General features: G+C 44.0%; 3 annotated features.

Annotated features, from left to right (window-relative positions):
- Window positions 6,351-6,410: an enhancer, noted in NCBI's record as "active region_8547". NCBI's record gives its function as "activates an Ori minimal core promoter by ATAC-STARR-seq in GM12878 lymphoblastoid cells {active_cell/tissue: GM12878}" and the evidence as "EXISTENCE:reporter gene assay evidence [ECO:0000049][PMID:35858748]".
- Window positions 13,256-13,957: an enhancer, noted in NCBI's record as "H3K4me1 hESC enhancer chr14:65654631-65655332 (GRCh37/hg19 assembly coordinates)". NCBI's record gives its function as "activates a minimal SCP1, AML or CMV promoter by ChIP-STARR-seq in primed H9 embryonic stem cells {active_cell/tissue: H9 hESC(primed)}" and the evidence as "EXISTENCE:reporter gene assay evidence [ECO:0000049][PMID:30033119]".
- Window positions 13,958-14,660: an enhancer, noted in NCBI's record as "OCT4-NANOG-H3K4me1 hESC enhancer chr14:65653928-65654630 (GRCh37/hg19 assembly coordinates)". NCBI's record gives its function as "activates a minimal SCP1, AML or CMV promoter by ChIP-STARR-seq in naive H9 embryonic stem cells {active_cell/tissue: H9 hESC(naive)}" and the evidence as "EXISTENCE:reporter gene assay evidence [ECO:0000049][PMID:30033119]".

The following is a 20,528-nucleotide window of genomic DNA, read 5'->3' as shown; positions in this document are numbered from 1 at the left end:
ACAAAAAATTAGCCAGGCGTGGTAGCGGGCGCCTGTAGTCCCAGCTACTCAAAGAAAAAAAAAAAAAAACCAACAAAAAAAAAACCCGAAAACACACACATGCAAGCTCTAATAGTGAATGAAGGGCATAGTTCTAGGCTGGGACTAAAAGGAGATCTACTATAGAACAAAGAAAAGTAGAATTTCTCCTTTGTTTTCTCTTTTACTCGTTATTTCAGAGGTAGACACTGAAGCCACACTCGTGACCCCACTTACTTCTCCCACCCCAAGTTTGGGGGGTTTCTTTCAGAGCTTTTTCATAAAATGGGTTAATGGAGAGGCTGGGATCCCACATCTCTGGGCCCCCCTTCTCTCTGGGCTCCAGGACACTGAACCTGCAACTTGGATGACCCCCGTCCTTCCCACCTGGCCCTTTGACCCAAAGATTTCCAGGGGAATTTCTCCATTCTGATGTCCTACAGGTGGCACCAGCTACACAATTTGCAGGTCCCAATGCAAAATAAAAATGCGAGGCCCTTTGTTTGAAAAGTATTAAGAATTTCAAGATAGCAACAGCAGAGCATGAAACCAAGCATGGGGCCCTATCTGACTGCTAGGTCGCAGTCCAAGAAACCTACTCAACCCACAAGGTCTGGGGCTTGCTGGCCAACATTACATTCCCCGGTAAGAAACTTGCTGTCTTGCTCAGCTCAGGCCACCATAACAAAATGCCATAGACTGGGTGGCTTATAAGCAACAGAAATTTATTTCTCACAGTTCTGGAAACTTGAAGTCCAAAATTAAGGCACTGATGATTAGTGTCTGATGAAAGCCCACTCTCTGGTTCATAGATGGCACCTTCTCACCCTACTCTCACATAGTAGAAAAGGACAGGGTAGCTCGTTGGCCTCTTTTATGAGGGCACTAATCCCATTCATGAGTGTTCTACCCTCATGACCTAATCACCTCCCAACAGGACTACCTCCTAATACCATCACATTGGTAATCAGCCTTCAACATATGAATTTTGGGGGGACACAGACATTCAGACCATAGCACTTGCTTAATTCAATTAAGATTTCCAGTTTCTTAAAGTGTGAGGTGGAGAAAAATGCTCAAGATATTTGGCTAGGAATCTCCCCATGAGGTGGCCTGTTACAGCTTCTAAAATCCTCCCAGGTAGGTATCAGAGTGCTGAAACACAGCACAGGGTAGCACCCTGCCCAAGAGCATTGTCACTAAAGTCAGTCTGCTTGGGTTTAAATGCCAGTTCCCTGACTCACTAGCTTGACTTGGGCAAAATACTAAACTTCTCTGTTTTTCAGTTTTCTCACTATAAAATTGGGGTATTCATGCCAACTTCATACGGCTGGGGCAGTAATTATATAAAATAATCCATGCAAAATGCTTGGTACAGTGCCAGGTACATGATTTGCTCTCAGTCGAAGTCAGCTGTTATTGTATTTCTACTCCACTCTGGTATACTTGGGAGGATCCACAGGGGCACCAGACAGGCAGTATCTACAGGCAGATTTTTTTTGAGATGGAGTCTTGCTCTGTCGCCCAGGCTGGAGAGCAGTGGTGCGATCTTGGCTCACTGCAAGCTCTACCTCCTGGATTCACGCCATTCTCCTGCCTTAGCCTCCCAAGTAGCTGGGACTACAGGTGCCTGCCACCACGCCTGGCTAATTTTTTGTATTTTTAGTAGAGACAGGGTTTCACCGTGTTAGCCAGGATGGTCTCGATCTCCTGACCTTGTGATCCACCCGCCTCGGCCTCCCAAAGTGCTGGGATTACAGGCATGAGCCACTGCGCCTGGCCCAGATGTTTTATAATATTGTTTTCAATCAGATTCTTTTTTGCCATAAAATGAATGACTATCTATTGTGAGAGGCTTGGCAACTATAGAAATGTATAAAGAACAATATAAAAGTCACCCGTAATCTTACATCCAAATATAACCACTTTGATGATTTTTGATGACTTTCCTTCCAGATCAATACACATTTAATTTCTTTCATATATTTTTGTGTTTACAGTTGAATAGCTTTTATATATCAAGAATTTTTATGCTGATGTATCACTGTCATGACCTTTTCTCCATGGCATTGGTCTTCTACAGCATGATTTTTAGCCTAAATTATACATTATTTTAGTTGCACATACCTCTCTAAAATCAAGTATGATATAAAATAACATACTAAGGTAGAAACACTACTTTTGCCACTCTCGTATTTCATGACATTATTTATTCAAACTCTTCCCACGTCTTTATCACATTAGTGTCTTTGTCTACCCCACAGCTACTTTTTGGGTCGTCTCACACAGTTTTCTAGAGTACATTACCTTCCCTTCTGCTTAAATTTTTGGAGTTACAGCACTTTTTTTTTTTTTTTGTCAGAGTTTCACTCTGTCACCCAGGCTGGAGCGCAGTGGTGCGATCTCGGCTCACTGCAACCTCCACGTCCTGGGTTCAAGCGATTCTCCTGCCTCAGCCCTCCGAGTAGCTGGGATTACAGGTGTGCGCCACCACATCTGGCTAATTTTTGTATTTTTTTAGTTGAGACCAGGTTTCACCATATTGGCCAGGCTGGTCTTGAACTCCTGACTTGGTGATCCGCCCTCCTCAGCCTCCCAAAGTGCTGGGATTATAAGCATGAGCCACTGTGCCCGGCCAGAGTTACAGCACTTTTACAAAATATATTTGCTGCTACTGGAAATTTTATCTTAAAACACAAGTAGAACAGTTAGGTCTACCTAAAACCTAATTACCTAAAACCATTTGGTTCTTCTTTGAAATACAGTGGTAAACGACAGCAGGTAGATTTTTGTGTGTGTGCCATGTGATCTCTAAAACATACCCATTTACAGTTTTGTTTTTTAAAAAGATGGTATTTTAAATAAGTATTACATAGATATGGCATAATATTCAAATGGGAAGATGATTTTTCATTGATCCAAAATTTTCCTTCTCAAGATAGTATAATCTGCCCCCTGCTATTGGATATTTAGGTTGTCTTCCATTTTTTGTGGGGTTTATTTTTTAAATAACTTGAAGAAGGACTAACAGAGAAAAAGAAAATTGAGATCCACTTCGAAGATAAATGCTATCTTTGGCAGTTCTTAGCAGTATCTCTCTGACCTCCTAGAATGGTTACCAAGTTTCCTCTAGCCCCAAAACTGATGCTGCTGCTCAGGGGGCCCAGGCCCTGGGGGAACTGCTGTGGGGATCGGGGGCTATTCTTAAACCAGCCCTTGCTTGCCCCTCACTAAGTTCCAGATGCCCTGGGAGCAGCCAGCAGCAGAAACACAACCCAAAGGACACAGTTTCAAAGGGCAGGGAATTTGGCAACCAGCCATATGCACAGACAGACCAGCATCCCCCTCCTTTGCCTGGTCCTGTTATTATATAAGTCAAGGTAGGTTTAAGGCCTCCAGGAAGTCACCACTGAAGATAAATCAAAATTGAAAAAAGAAAGTGAACTAGAATAGGGATAGCCAAGGATAATACTGTGACATCCAGGATTAGAAAAGCCCAACAGACAAATGCAGTCTGGCCCAGGGACTGTGAGGGACACTGGAAAGGAAGACTTTGAGGCCTGAGGGGAATACAGAACGAAACAGACCATCTCTCTCCTGAAAATTCTGCCCAATTGCTTAATACCTCAAATATCTATCCAGACAGGCAATCAAAGCAAAAATGGACAAATGGGATCCCATCAAGTTAAAAGGCTTCTGCACAGCAAAAGAAACCATCAACAAAGTGAAGAGACAACCCGCAGAGTGGGAGAAAATATTTGCAAACTACCCATCTGACAAGGGATTAATAACCAAAATATATCAGGAGCTCAAACAACTCTATAGGAAAAAAATCTAATAATCTGATCAAATAATGGGCAAAAGATTTGAATAGCCATTTCTCAAAAGAAGACATGCAAATGGCAGACAGGCACATGATTGATCATCAGAGAAATGCAAATGAAAACTACAATGAGATACCATCTTACCCCAGTCCAAATGGCTTATATCAAAAAGACAGGCAACAATAAATGCTGATGAGGATGTGGAACCCTCATGCACTGTTGGTGGGAATGTAAATTAGTACAAGCACTCTGGAGAAGAGTTTGGAGGTTCCTCAAACAACTGAAAATAGAGCTACCATATGGTCCAGCAATCCCACTGCTGGGTATGTACCCAAAAGAAAGGAAATCAGTGTATCAAAGAGATGTCTGCACTCCCATGTTTGTTGCAGCACTGTTCACAATAGCCAAGATTTGGAAGCAACCTAAGTGTCCATCAACAGATGAATAAAGAAAATGTGGTAAATATACACAACAGAGTACTATTCAGTCGTAAAAAAGAATGAGATCCTGTCATTTGCAACAACATGGATGGAACTGGAGGTCATTAATGTTAAATGAAATAAGCAAGGTACAGAAAGACAAACATCACATTTTCTCACTTATTTGTGGGATGTAAAATTAAAAACGATTGCTCATGGAAATAGAGAGTAGAAGGATGATTACCAGAGGCTAGGAAGGGTAATGGGCGTTGAGGGGAAGATGGGGAAAGTTAATGGGTATTAAATAGAAAGAATGAACAAGGCCTACTATCTGATAGCACCACAGGGTGACTATAGTCAATAACAACTTAATTGCACATTTTAAAATAACTAAAAGAATGTAATTGGATTGTTTGTAACACAAAGGATAAATGCTTGAGGGATGGATACCCCATTCTCCATGATGTCATAACTTCACATTGCGTGCCTGTATCAAACATCTCATGTACCCCATAAATATATATACCTATTATGTAACTCACTAACATTAAAAATACATTTTTTAAAAAAGGTACCTCTCTAGTTGGTTTTGTGAAAGTGATCCAAGCCTCATGGAGGGATGAGCTTTTCTTGGTGATTGAGGATTCAGGATGTTCAGAATGAAGTTACAGCCAAGGAGCTCTTAAGGAACTTAACATCATGTCACTGAATGCAAAGTTGTAAAGCGATGTGCAGTAGTGGGCCATTATCTAGTATTTCCACCATGCAGACATGATAGATACACATAACTTCAAGAGCACAGATAATGGTAAAGTATAGTAAAATAATCAGGATGAGTTTGTTTGTTTTTGGGGTGTTTGTGATGGAGTCTCACTCTCTTGCCCAGGCTGGAGTGCAGTGGCGCTGTCTCCACTTACTGCAACCTCCGCCTCAGGGTTTAAGTGATTCTCCTGCCTCAGCCTCCTGAGTAGCTGGGACTACAGGTACGAGCCACCATGCCTGGCTAATTTTTGTATTTTTAGTAAAGACGGGGTTTTGCCATGTTGGCCAGGCTGGTCTCAAACGCCTGACCTCAGGTGATCCGCCCGCCTCGGCCTCCCAAAGTGCTGGGATTACAGACGTGAGCCAGCACATCCAGCCGGGAGGAGTTTTACCTATAGCAAACTACCTTTGTTTTTACTGTAATTTATTTAACTGTAAGTTTATATATGTTCATTCTTAATAATGGGTGTATAACTCCCAGCTTGCAAAATTCCTGAAAATTTGCCATTCAGCTTCCACGAGCCAGTACTAGTGAGCACTCCACTCTGCCTTTCGCCCTCCCCGTCACTGACATGCCTCGGTCCCCACTTCACTGTAGAGTCATCAGAGCATCTTAAGGAAAGTAAAAGCAATCATGTTCAGACTGTTCCCTCATTTCTCCATTTCTCTCATGAGCCAACCCTGGACCCATCTTTAAAATTGTTTTCATTATGAAATGTGATAGCTGTGCCCATCTTAAAAGATATAGACAATGATATAATGAGCATTTGAAAACTACCCAGTTTGACAAGATAAAACATTGCAAATTCACTTGAAGCTTCCTGTGTATCCTCCTACTCACATCCTTCTCCCTCTTCCTCAGAGGTTACCACTGTCCTGATTTTGATATTTACCATTCCCACGCATATCTGTATAATTTTAGTACATATTACATATATTACACACTGCCTAGTACATATGTATATATGTATGTATATATTCATGTATATACAGTAAATCTTCACTTAAGGTCACAATAGGTTCTCAGAAACTTCAACTTTAAGCAAAATGACTTAATGTCCTTGAATAACGTCCTTTCACTCAATGTCATTTTGTTATAACATTGATGAGGAAAAAAATGGCTTTTTTGTTGTTTTGAGACAGGGTCTTGCTCTGTCACCCAGGCTGGAGTGCAGTGGCGTGATCAAGCTCACTGCAGCCTCAATCTCCTGGGATCAAGCCATCCTCCCACCTCAGCCTCTTGAGTAGCTGGGACTACAGGCATGTGCAACTATGCCTGGCTAATTTTTTTGATTTTTAGTAGAGACGAGGTCTTGCTATGTGGCTTAGGTTAGTCTCAAACTCCGGAGCTCAGGCAGTCCTCCCATCGTGGCCTCTAAAAGTGCTGGGATTACAGGCGTCAGCTACCATGTTCGGCCAAAAAAAGTTGGTTTTGTCATACAACATTATGCTCATAGTCAAAAATCAAAGTTTCCAAAAGCCTATGGACAATGTTAAGTGAGGATTCACTGTATATGTATACATAGTACTGTTTCCAGTTTCTTTTTACAGATAGGAAACCGCAGAAAACTCAGAGTCCAGCTTGTTTGCATATCTCTTTTTGATGTTTTTTCAAAGGTTCTGATTCTGAAAGGTTACTCAAAACAGGCTTGGAGGTAAAACTGGCCCCTTTATTTCTAGCCTATGGAGAGTTTAGACAAGATAGTGTCTGTTTGCCCATTTCCAGCACAGAGAAGTCTTTTTCTAAGACTTCCAGATGACGGCCTGTCTTGTATTCCTGTGAATGCCATCAGCGGCAGACCATGGGTGTCACTGGAGATTCCATCTTCAGGTTCTTCGTGGTCATCCTTTATCAATGCCATTATGAAGACATCTTACTCATTGAATCCCTTACTAACAATAATTTCTGTCCAAAAGGGAAGAGCTTACATAGTATTTCTATTTTATCCCTTTTAAAAAATGACAAATATTGACAAGCACCAAGACAGGAAGATGTTATTTACGAAGAGTGTTGTGAGCTAAAAATCGCAAGATGGAGATTTGTGATTCTTTATCGAACTTGATTATAAAAGTTTTTATCAAGCACTGTCAGACTTATGAGCTGGGAAGAGACTTCAGATTTATAACTTGGTCCTAAATAGGCAACAGCAGATATAAAATCTTAGAATTTAATATCAGCTTTGACAATGTTAAATTGAGAGTTCGAGCAGTTTTCACTTTATGAACTGGCACATTGTAGAATGCGAGGGCTATATTGATTTCTGACAGAGGAACTTGTCTCTAAAATGGATCTGAGCCTTTTCATATCCATTTCATTCTAAAGGCACATTTTAAGCAATGTCCTCTTCATTTCCATTTAGTGTGTGTGACTTAATTGGAGAAGACAGCTTTACAGAGAAGGACCTCTCCCTGCGAGTGTGTTGGGGTCACTGCAGGGGTGGAGAACAGCACTAAAGAGACTTGCTAAATGACATGAAGTTCATGTGGTAGATTTTTTTCCCCAGTGTTCCAGTTCAAGAAGTTTCAAAGCCCTTTCCTTGGGTTATTTTTGCAATGGAGTACCAGGAGGAAATGGGTCCTTTGTCTCCTCAATTTTTTCACCACCTGTCCCTGCCTAGAGTGGCCTCCTCAGTGCTCTGCCGGACTTTCTCACTTGCCTTTCTGAGAATGCAGAATCCTTGGGGATGGGAGGGCGTCAGCCATCCCTGGCCTGATAAGCAGTGAAGGACAAAGTCTGGGAACATGCTTAGCCATGCAGAAACCCACTTTGGCATACATTCTGCATGTCATTAGGCAGATTACCAGGGTAGCTTTTGTGCTTAGAATTCCAGTCCACTGATACCTGTGTAGATACCCAAAATTGGCTGGCAAAAAAAGGCATCCTAAGGAGGTCTTAATGTAGCCTCTATCTTCTGTGACCAAAAGATGCTGGAAAGAAGGCTCTACTCCAAGAATATCCTCTGTTTAGCTGCCATTACAAATTGCCTGAAATTTAGCGTCTTCAACAACACAAATTTATTCTCTTTACAGTTCTAGAGGTTGGAAATCCAAAGTATTAGTCCGTTATGCTGCTAATAAAGACATACCCAAGACTGGGTAATTTATAAAGGAAAGAGGTTGAATTGACTCACGGTTAAGCATGGCTGGGGAGGCCTCAGGAAACTTACAATCATGGCACAACTAGAAGCAAACACATCCTTCTGAGACAGCCAAGTATAGAGGGGTCCCCGGAGAACCTCCAACCAGCCTGTGCACTGGGAGAACGGGGTGGAGCTGTGGGAAGTCTGCACCCTTTGCAGGGGAGAGGAGCCTGGCCTCTCCTGTTCCAGGGTGGTAACCTGGAATTCAATCTGTGAGATGAGGGCCTGTTAACAGGAACCCCTCTCTCTGTCTCTTTGCTACGTTGTTTTTCCTTTTTTTTTTTCTTTTTGCCCAATAAATTCCATTTTTCTCACCTTTCAAAGCGTGAAGATTAGTACAAGCCTAATCTTTTCCGGTCATGTGACAAGAACCCTAAGGAGAAAGTTCTACAACACTTCTTCACGTGGCGGCCGGAAGGAGAAGAATGAGAGCCGAGTGAAGGGGGAAAGCCCCTTATAAAACCATCAGATCTCATGAGAACTCACTATCAGGAGAACAGTATGGAGGAAACTGCCCCCCATGATTCAATTATGTCCACCTGGCCCCGCCCTTGTCACATGGGGTTCATCACAATTCAAGGTGAGATTTGGGTGGGGACCCAGAGCCAAACCATATCATCCAAGATGGGTCTTACTGAACTAAAATCAAAAGCTGCCTTCCTCTTGGAGGCTCCAGGAGATAATCATTTCCTTGCCTTTTCCAGCTTTTAGAGGCCTCCTGAATTACTTGACTCATGGCCTCTTCACATCTTCAAATTGCGCCAGCCCAGCATCTGCTTCTGTCATCACACATTGTCTCTGTCCTTCTGACCTCCTGCCTCTCTCTGATAAGGATCCTTATGATTACATTGAGCCTACCTGGATAGGCTCAAGATCCTTAATCTCCACTGCTCAAGAGCCTTAATGTAAGCACATCTGCAAAGTCCCTTTTTCCTACAAGGTAACACATTCACAGGTTCTGGGGATTAAGATGTGGACATCTTGGGGTTGGGGGGTCATTAGCACCTCATACCTCCCAACTACTAAACTGAAATTTTGCCATTTGAGAGACATTTCTTTTGGTATTAAATTTTGTATTTTTAAGAGTCCTTTTTAAAACACAAACGTGCTTGGTAAAGCTGGTGCTAAGGCAGTATTAGACAGAGAGCCCTGGCATGCCCTGGAGTTCCCCTCTTCCCTTAATTCTTCCATTCAATGAGGCTGAATTAGGCTGGCCTGAGGAGGCCTCTGTGAGGTGTTCCCATCCTGGCCCTACAAACCATGAGAAAAGAAGGAAAATGGCCAGGCATGGTGGCTCACACCTGTAATCCCAGCACTCTGGGAGGCCGAGGTGGGTGGATCACAAGGTCAGGAGATGGAGACCATCCTGGCCAATATGGTGAAACCCTGTCTCTACTAAAAATACAAAAATTAGCTGAGTGTGTTGGCACGTGCCTGTAATCCCAGCTACTCGGGAGGCTGAGGCGAGAGAATCGCTTGAACCCGGGAGGCAGAGGTTGCAGTGATCCGAGATCGCACCACTGCACTCCAGCCTGGTGACAGAGTGAGACTCTGTCTCAACAACAACAACAAAAAGAAAAAAAAGAAAATAAGATCATAAGATTACATTAATGAATACATCATTTAACTGATCAGAAGAGAGATACTTAGAGTCACCTTAAAGAAAGAGAATAGCCCCCAGGCCAGGAAGATCCCCATTTAGCCAGATTGAAGGAATTATTCTGGAATGTCTTAAACAGAAGCAAAGTCGTCTGGCAAGGAGGCCTAGGAATGAGGAGGCATGATGCCTGCAGTCCCATGTACCACATATCTCTGCCTGCCCCTCTGCTTCCGCTCTCACCTTCTCTACCCTGCTCTGTGATCTAAGAGGCTGGCCTCTACAGACTGTCAGCTGGCTCCCTGGGTTCCAGCTGCGTCCAGCCAACGGGAGGCACAAGAAGGATCAGGGGACAGGAGGCGAGAGAAACAAGGGGATATCTTCCCCAGGTTCCCTCCCTGCTAGCCTATGTTTTGCAGTGGCTGTATTCCTCTACCAAGGGCCGTGATCCTGGAGAAATGCCCTCCCTTGGAGCTGCAACTACAGTTCCCTCCAGGTCCTGGCAACTCCTTCCTCCTTTTGCCCTTGAGGTAGGGATGACTCCCATGGTTGCCAGATTAGGGGTGCATAACCATCCCTTATTGGTTTTGAGATATGTTGGAAAAGAATCCTTTCTTTAAATTCTGCAATGACTACCCCCTTTTGAGTGTGACATTTTATTTCCTAGTCTGATATCTGCCATATCCTAGCACTACCCAGAAGACAGCATGCTTAGATTAATGGGGGCATGTGTCTAGTGATTGTGGCAGGTAGTCCTTCATCATGGAGGTGACAGCCCCAGATCTTAGAGCTCAATGAGAATAAACTCTGGTCTTCCTATCTAACTCCACCTGCACTGATTCCAGGAGCCCTGAAAGACCAGCCAATACCTTGATTCCCCAGGTATCTTCTTGTCCTGTGAGAGGAAAGATCTGGTCAAGCTAAAGTCAGCTTAGCTGTTTTATGACTTTTTTTTTTTTTTTTTTTTTTTTGAGATGGAGTCTGGCTCTGTCACCCAGGCTGGAGTGCAGTGGCGCCATCTTGGCTCACTGCAACCTCTGCCTCCTGTGTTCAAGCGATTCTCCTGCCTCAGCCTCCCAAGTAGCTGGGATTACAGGCGCCCAGCACTATGCCCGGCTAATTTTTGTATTTTTAATGGAGACAGGGTTTCACCTTGTTGGCCAGGCTGGTCTTGAACTCCTGACCTCAGAGGATCCACCCACTTCGGATTACAGGCGTGAGCCACCACACCCGGCCCATGTCTTATTATACTTTAGTAAATTGGGTTTTTTTGTTTGCATTTCTCTCTTTGAGCTTCATTACTACAAATCACCATCCCTGCATCCAGTCAAATTTGAGGCAAGAGAAGATGGAGTGTCTGCACTAGCAAGGCTGGGGACAGACCAGACGCTGGGCCACAGTGAATACTCCAAGGTGCATGCCATCTTGCAAGGCTGCCTGGTGGCCAGGCCCTCTGTCACCTGCAATATGTGTCTTAGCACACATTTGCTTTTAGACTTCTACAGCCTTTCATATCCTATCCTCCGCTGGGCTAACATTTTACAATCCTTCCACAGGCTGTTATCAGCTAACACCTTGCAGGGATTATGACAGCTGGCTCAGGGGAGGAACACGTGGAAATGGAACATGGCCCAATGCTTGGAAAGAGAGGGACGTGGAAGAGGGTAGGGAGGTGAATTTGAGGAAGGAAGAGACTGACAATAAAGGGGCAGTCAGCTTGACCAGTTTTTGCAGCTTTCCCCTGGAGCTTTCCATCCCTATTTTTCCTCGCATGGGTCTGGGTTCTAGTCTTGGCTCTCCACTACCTTCCTACCTGTGTGACCCTTATCTTCTCGAGAAATCTGTTTCTTCAACTGAAAAGGGAATACTAAAAATCAAGGAGTCTATTCTAGGTGCATTAATCATGTTATATTCAAGTACTTTTTTTTTTTTTTTTGAGACGGAGTCTCACTCTGTTGCCCAGGCTGGTGTGCAATGGTGTGATCTCGGCTTACTGCAACCTCTGCCTCTCAGATTCAAGTCATTCTCCTACCTCAGCCTCCCTAGTAGCTGGAATTACAGGCGTCCACCACCACACCCGGCTAATTTTTGTATTTTTAGCCGAGATGGGGTTTCACCATGTTGGCCAGGCTGTTCTCCAACTCCTGACCTTAGGTGATCTGCTTGCCTTGGCCTCCCAAAGTGCTGGGATTACAGGCGTGAGCCACCAAGCCCGGCCTCAAGTACTTTTAAAAATGTATATCCCAGTGGCATTTAGTTGGGAAGTAGAAATTCGGTTTGAAGTGGGCTCTTTTGGCTGCAGAACACGAGGTCAAATGAACTTACATTTGGAATCCAGCTCCACTGTGTGACCCTGAGCAAGTTATGTAACCTCTCTGAACCTCAATTTCCTCATTTGTAAGGCAAGAATAATGCCACCTACCGTGTATAATTGTAAGGATTATGTGAGATAACGTAAACCAGACATAAGCCAGGATCTCACATCACCCACTCTCTGCACAGAGTTACATTAGAGGACAGTTCTAAAACCAAACATAATTTATAAAGTTTTCTAAGAGTACTAGTGTCACTCAAATAACATAAAAAGGGGATCCAATGTACAATCCACAGCAACATTTCTTAAAATCTCTCTTCTTCTGCCCAATTCCCCTACTTCTACCTACCATCTGCTCCAGAATCTCAACTCTAGAAAACTCTCCTCACCACTAGACTTGACAGATTTAGCAAAACCAAAATAAAATAAACCAAACAACAAAAAAGTATGCCCCCATTAAATTTAAATTTCAGCTGGGCACAGTGGCTCACACCTGTAATCCCAGCACTTTGGGAAGCCGAGGCGGGCAGATTACGAGGTCAGGAGTTCGAGGCCAGCCTGGCCAACATGGTGAAACCCCGTCTCTACTAAAAATACAAAAATTAGCTGGGCGCTGTGGCAGGCACCTGAAATCCCAGCTACTTGGGAGGCTGAGGCAGGAGAATTGTTTGAACCCGGGAGGTGGAGGTTGCAGTGAGCCGAGATCGTGCCATTGCACTCCAGTCTGGGTGACAGAGCAAGACTCCAGCTCAGAAAAAATAATAATAAAAATAAATACATTTAAATTTCAGTTACATAATGAATATTATTTTTTAGTATAAATATGTCCCATGCAATATTTGGGACATACTTACACTAAAAACTACATGATTATACTAAACCATCCTTTGTTGTTTATCTGAACTTCAAATTTCACTGGTGTCCCACATTTTATCTGGCAACCCTACCCAATGCCGGATCCACAAATTTTTGTTCTGCTTTTCACTCCTCCCCATCCCATATTTGTTATGTACATCAACTTAGCTCACTAAGTTTCTCTCACTTCATTTTTAAATTTTTAGCTACACTTTGCTCACTATCAGCGTTCTCCATAATAGAGGAGACCTTCGGAGCTGCCCCAGTAAGAAGGCTTCTGCTTCCCCCGCCTTCTGCTATCCATTCCCCTGATGCTACGCCTTTTTAAAAAGCACAGTAGCCAGGAAAACCCTTAGAGGGCAAGAGAGAGGAAGAAACTAATTGGACAGAGACTAAATTTTTGTGTTAGGGAGTGAAAGTTAGCTCTCATACCATAATAAAGTATTCGGCACAGGGTCTGGTATAGCATAAGCACAGATACCTGCTTCTTACTTCTTCTCATCGGTGTTATCAGATAGACATCCCTTCCCACCCCCTCAGCCAAATCTGAGGCCTTATTCTTTTTTTTTTTTTTTTTTTTTAAGACAGAATCTCGGTCTGTCGCCCAGGCTGGAGTACAGTGGCATGATCTCGGCTCACTGTAAGCTCCGCCTCCCGGGTTCACGCCATTCTCCTGCCTCAGCCTCCCGAGTAGCTGGGACTACAGGCGCCCGCTACCACACCCAGCTAACTTTCTGTATTTTTAGTAAAGACAGGGTTTCACCTTGTTAGCCAGGATGGTCTCGATCTCCTGACCTCGTGATCCGCCCGCCTCGGCCTCCCAAAGTGCTGGGATTACAGGCGTGAGCCACCACGCCTGGCCGAGGCCTTATGCTTTATAGGACACCCCAGGGAGCTTAAAAGAGGCTGGGCCACTTCCTCACTCCCACAAGAACTGTGGTGGTTCCAACCCCTTTGGGTCTGAATCCATTGCAGCTCTCAGTCCCCTTCGCTCCAGGACCTGTCCCAGTGCCCTTGCTAGGAAGCCCCAGGTAATCACAGCATCATGCTGTTCACGGGGTCACATGATCTCCTCCTCTCCTCCCCACCCAGGAAGTCTGAGATTTCCAAAGGCCTCCCAGTGAGCCAGGAGGCCCCTTTGGGGACAGTGGCCTTGGTTCCCTTTAGAAGATGCTGCAGCGCCACTGCTGCTGAGCACAGTAATATTCCTCCATCCCGGGACCACCTGAGGGAGTTAAATTCCCATTACAAAAACAAAGCCTACTGAACTGAAAGAGATGTTGTTCCCCAGCACTAGCAAGAGCCGAGCCTCATTCCCAAAGGGGTGCCGGGCCCATTAAAGCTTTTCACAGCTGATTGCTCACCTGCTCTTCATTTTCTACTTCACTCAGTGCACTAAACAGTGTCCTGGGGAGAAGAACCCAGCAGAACAAAGCGGTAAAATTGAACATTTCCCCTTCAATCCTCTTTGCGGCAGACCCCCCAGGCTAACTTGATGAGGGAGATGTAGCTTCATTCCTTTCTCTTTTTTTCTTCTACAAATGGGAATCTAATGTGGGACAGATCAGACCCAAGGCTTCATCTCCCCTTGTAACTATCGAGGAGTGTCTCTACTGTTCTTCCTTTCTACAGCATTGCTACTTCCCAAAAAGCATCAGACAAGAAAAAGAAACAAAGCCTTCAAAAAAAAAGTCTTACACTCCTGATTTCAATTCATTTTAACAAATATAGCCTGCAAAGGACTAACCCATCTCAGGGGATTAAAAAAAATAGGATTAAGCCTGCCCCGCTCTCCAGGGGCTCACAGTTTTGTGATTCAGACTTAAGCAGCATAAAAGCAGGCAGGTCCCACCAAGGCAGGTGAGCTATGTGCAGGGCAGGAAGAGGCCAGGGGGAAGAACTGGATTTAGAACCTCAAAAAGAGGAGCAGTGTTGGGGTATGTGGGGTTTGCTTTGTTGTTGTTGTTTCATGCGTATGTGTATGTGTGTTTCTGTATGTGTTAGTTTCCTTTTCTCTTTCTCCACTCTTCATGATCAAACGCAAACCCTACACCATCACCACCAACTACTGGGATGGCCAAACTTGGACTTCATAATCCTCCAAACCCCTCAACATTTGTCCCACATCTGACTCGAGAAAGCAGACCACTTGATCTAGCTGGTCTGGCTTTTCCTATAGATCTTTCTGTATATAAGAGGTGCAGCATGCAAATATGTATATATGTACATACACACATATATATAAATTGAGCCCTTCCTTTGCTAAGCACTGGGAAAATGGCTCTGGAACACAGCCACAAGCAAAACACCTAGACTCCACCTTTATGGAGCTAAGCAGGGCAGTGGTTGAGCATAGAGTAGAACTGAGAATGCACACACTTTGGAGTTGAACAGAGCTGGGTTGTCTTACCAGCCAAGAGACCTTAGGCTAATTAAATTCTCTGTGACTCAGTTTGTTGATGCATAAAATGGGGACAATAATGCCCACCTCATGGGCTTGTCATGAGGTTGAAATGAGATGTGCCTGGGTACTCAGTGTGTGTCAGCTCTATGACTAGTGTTAATGATGGTATTTTAGTATCACGCATTTTGGCACCTAATGATAATACTGATGGTATACCGTGCTTTGCTGTTTTCAAATTGTTTCACATGTGTCTGTTTTATTTCACCAACAGCTTCATAAGCCTCTTGAGGGCACAACAGCAAGAGGCATATCATGTATATTCAACAAATAGCTATCAAATTTAGGTTGCAGGAGACTGTGGAATATTTCCTGCAAAGCCACTGAGGTTTCTGTTTTAGGCAACAGCAAAGGGGGTCAGAGAATTTCCACTGCTGAAATGCCAACTGCACATGTTTGCTCAGCGTATAGGGCAGAGGGAAAGATAAAGTGAATTCCAACTGGGCTGTGACAGTCTCCTGTCGCCCACAGAGCAGAGGAGAACACAGCTGAATAAACCCGGGCATAGAGAGAAATGAATGTAGTCAGGGGGATGCTTGGCGGGATGAAGGATAGTAAGCCAGTGTGAGACTGCAAAGGAAACCTCATTACTGTCCAGAGAGAGACAGGGGCTGCTCTTCAGGTGGAGTAGTGCTCAGGGAATTCCAGAACATGGTTGCATGGGAATCAGATCGAACAGGTACTGGATGGTAACCACCGACATCGAGGGTGAGGCAGCAGCGATCAATACAGGCATAAATGAGCTGAAGGACGCCTCTCCTCTCTCCCCTTGCAGAGGTGCTGGGCTGAGGTCTCTGGAGAGAAACCTGTGTGATACTGAGTGATTAGAGAATGTTTCTTCTCCTGAGAGATCCCTCCAGGTGCCTGGCAGAAAGAAGATGGTCAATAAATATTTGGCAATGACTGTTTGAGTTCTGAGAATTAGAAATTCATTTATAAAGGGATTATCTAGACCAGTCCCTTTGTTTACCAGTAGGGAAAACTAAACTCCAGGGAACTAGCTGGCATGGTGGTTCACACCTGCAATCCCAGTGCTTTGGGAGGTTGAGGCAGGAGCATTGCTAGAGCTCAGGAGTTTGAGAACAGCCTGGGCAACACAGTGAGACTCCCATCTCTACAAATAACTTAAAACTTAGCCTGGCATGGTGGCACCTGCCTATAGTGCCAGCTACTCAGGAGGCTGAGGTGAGAGGACCGCCTGAACCTGATAGGTCGAGGCTGCAGTGAGCTATTATCATGCCACTGCCCTGTAACCTGGGTGACAGAGTAAGACCCTGTCTCAAAAATAAATAAATAAAGTCCAGGGAAGTAAAGTGTCATGCAGGCACTGAAGCTGGGAATTATAGCTGGGATCATTCCAGCTTTAGTTCATTGCTCGTGCTTTAGGTAAACCTATCTGCCATGAGCAGTATCTCTGTTACCAGTGGCTGGAGCCCCAGCTGTGCCTTGACCTTCCTTCAAGCTAAAATGACTTCAACATGGTACTTTTCTTTTCCCAAATTCTCTTCCAATCTGGTTAACATGGTTGCTTTGGACTTGTATCTTCCCCTCTGATTCTAACCACACATCTTTAAAAGCTGAAGAACCCTTAATGATGAGCCAAGATACCCACCTCACAGAACAGAAGCCTCAGTCAAGATTAGCTCTCACCATATTATTATTATTATTGTGATTATCAATATTATTATTTGGTTTTTAACTACTGGCAAGGCCCAGGCAGTGACGCACTAGCTGCCATGCTGGTCCCCCACGCCAGGCTCTTAAAGCAGGCCTGCCACTCTGCCCTTGCCAGACACCACGGACCCCCACCAGCCCCAAGAGCCAGGTACAGGAAGAAAATAAATGAGTTGATTCTGGCCTCAAGCTGAGTCATAAAAACTCAGACAGGAGAGTGTGAAGGAAAGTGAGTAGAGAGGCAGCTTCGTGAGCAAACAGCTCAGGCAGAGGCTGTAGGAAACTCACTCCCTGCCCCTCCCATCGACAGAGCCCTCTTGGAGAATCTTCAGAGCCCTGGGGTGAGCCTCAAACTGGCATTTTATTGCTGATTTTTAAAAAGTGCCCGTCATTGCCAAGCCTCTGCCTTGTATCTTTTAATTGTTTTAAAATTGTGTGCTCTGTGCCCTGAGGTGATTTTAACACCAAGGGCAGCACTTCATAAAATAAATACATTAGGAGCTGGAGTTGCTTCCCTACAGTGGGTAGATGGAGCAAGTGGGGTGGGGGCAGGGAACCACAGAGGGACACCTCCTGAGGATTTGGGCTCTCACTCTTGCTGGGACTTTACTTTCCTGTTGCCCCTTTAATACCACTCTGAGCTTCTGAGCACCAGCAGGAGGCAAAACATTGGAAGCAAGGGGGTTGCATGAGTCACGTGGAAATATCTGGGGACTTTGCTGCTGTCTAGGCCAGTTAGGGAGAGCCAGCTTGAGAAGGCGGAGCACCTGAAGGGACTGTGTCCGTTGTGGAGTTTTAGAGACACATGACCCTTAATCAGGAGGGGAGAAGTATCATTAAAAAAGAAAAATCTAGAACCACATCTTCCCAGCCCCAACTGAAAGACCAAAAGGCCAACCAAGAGTTGTTGACAGTGTCAATATATTTATTGCTAAGGTGCAGTTCACAAACTCTTCCAAAAAAACTAGAAGAGGAGGAAATACTTCCAAGCTCTTTTTATGAGGCCAGCATTACCCTGATATCAAAGCCAGACAAGGACATAACAAGAAAATTACAGGCCAATATCCTTAATGAATATAGATGCAAAAACCCTTAACAGAACACTAGCAGCTAGGCATGGTGCCTCATACCTGTAATCTCAGCACTTTGGGAGGTTGAGGCAGGTGGATCACTTGAGGTCAGGAGTTTGAGACCAGCCAGGCCAACATGGCAAAATCCCGTCTCTACCAAAAATAAAAAAATTAGCTGGGTGTGGTGGCGGGCACCTGTAATCCCAGCTACTCGAGATGCTGAGGCAGGAGAATCGCACAAACCCGGGAGGCAGAGGTTGCAGTGAGCTGAGATCATGCCACTGCACTCCAGCCTAGGCCAAAAAGCGAGACTCCGTCTCAAAAAACAAAACAAAAACAAAACACACACACACACACACACACACAAACACTAGCAAACCAAATTCAACCACACATTAAAAGAATCACTCACCATGATCAGTGGGATTTATCCCTGGGATGCAAGATAGTTCAACATATGCAAATCAATAAATGTGATATATCGCATTAACAGAATGAAGGATAAAAACCATTTGATCATCTCAATAGGTGTGGAAAACATATTTGACAAAATTCAACATCCTTTCATGATGAAAACTCTCAACAAATTAGGTATAGAAGGAATGAACCTCAACACAATATACATTAAACCCATAGCTATCATTATACTCAACAGTGAAAAATTGAAAGCCTTTCCTGTAAGATCTGGAACAAGACAAAGATGTGCACTCTTGTCACTTCTATTCAACTGTAGGGGAGTGAAAAACCTCCACCCTTCTAAGTTCCTTGGCTAGGCTACAAATTAAAGGGACATAAGACAGATTGACAGGAGAAAAACCATATTTAATGATGGGCATATGCAAAGGTGTCCCACAGAATAAGAGACTTGAAGAAGGGTCAGACGATTGAAGTCTATATAGCATCCTAAGCTACAGAAAGGAATAGGAGCTCCAGCTTCTCAGGGGAGGCGGGGGACACAAATTACGATAGAGCAAAGGGAGGAAATTTGTGGTGAAGAAAGGCTGCCTTATCCAGATAAACAGTCTCAGCTAATAAAAATTGTCTGGAGCAGCCCTCAGAAGAAGAGGTAACAATCTCTGGGTTGGTGTTAACCTCCAGTCTCACCTCCTGTGAACCAAGTTAATCTTCCCTGATTGATAAGATTTCTAGGGAGGGGATTCATAACAAATTGAGTTCCTTTTAGAGGATTCATCTTTAGGCAGATAAGGGGGCTCAGAGAAAGCATCTGCTGTTTCCTAAGTGCCCTCAGTGCAAAGCCACCAGTGCACCACAGAGGCATATTTTGGGGTGGCATTTCCTGAACACCTTCACTGCTTAGTATTAGAAGTCCTTGCCAAAGCAATTAGGCAAGAAAAAAATAAATAAAAGACACTAAATCATTTAGAAAGGAAGAAGCTAAATTGTTACTGTTTGCTGATGACATGATCTTATATATAGAAAACCCTAACGATTCTACCCCAAAACTGTTACAATACACGAATACAGTAAAGTCACATGATACAAAATCGACACACAAAAGTCAATAGTGTTTCTGTTTATTATTCATTTTATTGTTAGACCTGCACTAACAATAAACTGAAAAAGAAGAGAACAATCCCATTTACCATGGCTACAGCCTGGTGATAAAGACAGCCGAGGGGAATTCTCTGGGGTCAGATCTGGATTCCAATCCCCCCTGAGCCACTTACTCATTGTGTCACTTAGGGCAAGTGGCTTCATTTTTCTGCATTTTAGTTATTTCATCTTACTTCGTTAAATGGTAGCGACAATAATAATGCCTTCCTTGTATGAATATTGGGAAAAGCGAAAGGAGATGGGTAATCCATTAAAGTGTTTACTTAACCCAATGCTGGGCACAGACAAACAGTAGATATTAGTTATTGTTGTGTTATTGTGCATTTAGTGCGCTATATTAGGTGATCTTGCGAAAAGAGCAGAAATAGTCTCTGTCACTGAGGCATATGTTCCCAAAATCCCACTCTGCCTTCTCTGTGCTGACTCAAATCTGATTTAGCTCCAGCAGCTTCTCTGTGTAGTGGAAAGAGCTTGGATTTGTGCCCCAGCTCCATTGATCCCCAGCTCTGCACACATCATCTAACTTCTCTGAGCTTCAGTTTCCTCTTCTGCAAGATGGAGATGATAATAGAGACTCTGCTGACTTTGTAAGGTTGTGGTGAGGCTCAAATGTGACTATGGGTGAATTTTCTCCAAAAGCTGTAAAGTCATTATAAAGCAAAAGTAAAACCCAACCTTACAGGCTTCACTCAAGTCCCACCTTCTCCTACCTTTCTGTGAGAGAAATCCAACTCAAACTGTCTTAAGAGGGGGGAAAATGGATTTTCTTAGCTCATGCAACTAAACGATCCAGGAGTAAATTCTGGAGTGGCTGGAGCC

This window comes from Homo sapiens, chromosome 14 (assembly GCF_000001405.40).
Source record: "Homo sapiens chromosome 14, GRCh38.p14 Primary Assembly".
Classification (NCBI taxonomy): domain Eukaryota; kingdom Metazoa; phylum Chordata; class Mammalia; order Primates; family Hominidae; genus Homo; species Homo sapiens.
Note: the sequence above shows the minus strand (reverse complement) of the source record. Positions and strands in the feature narration are given on the sequence as shown.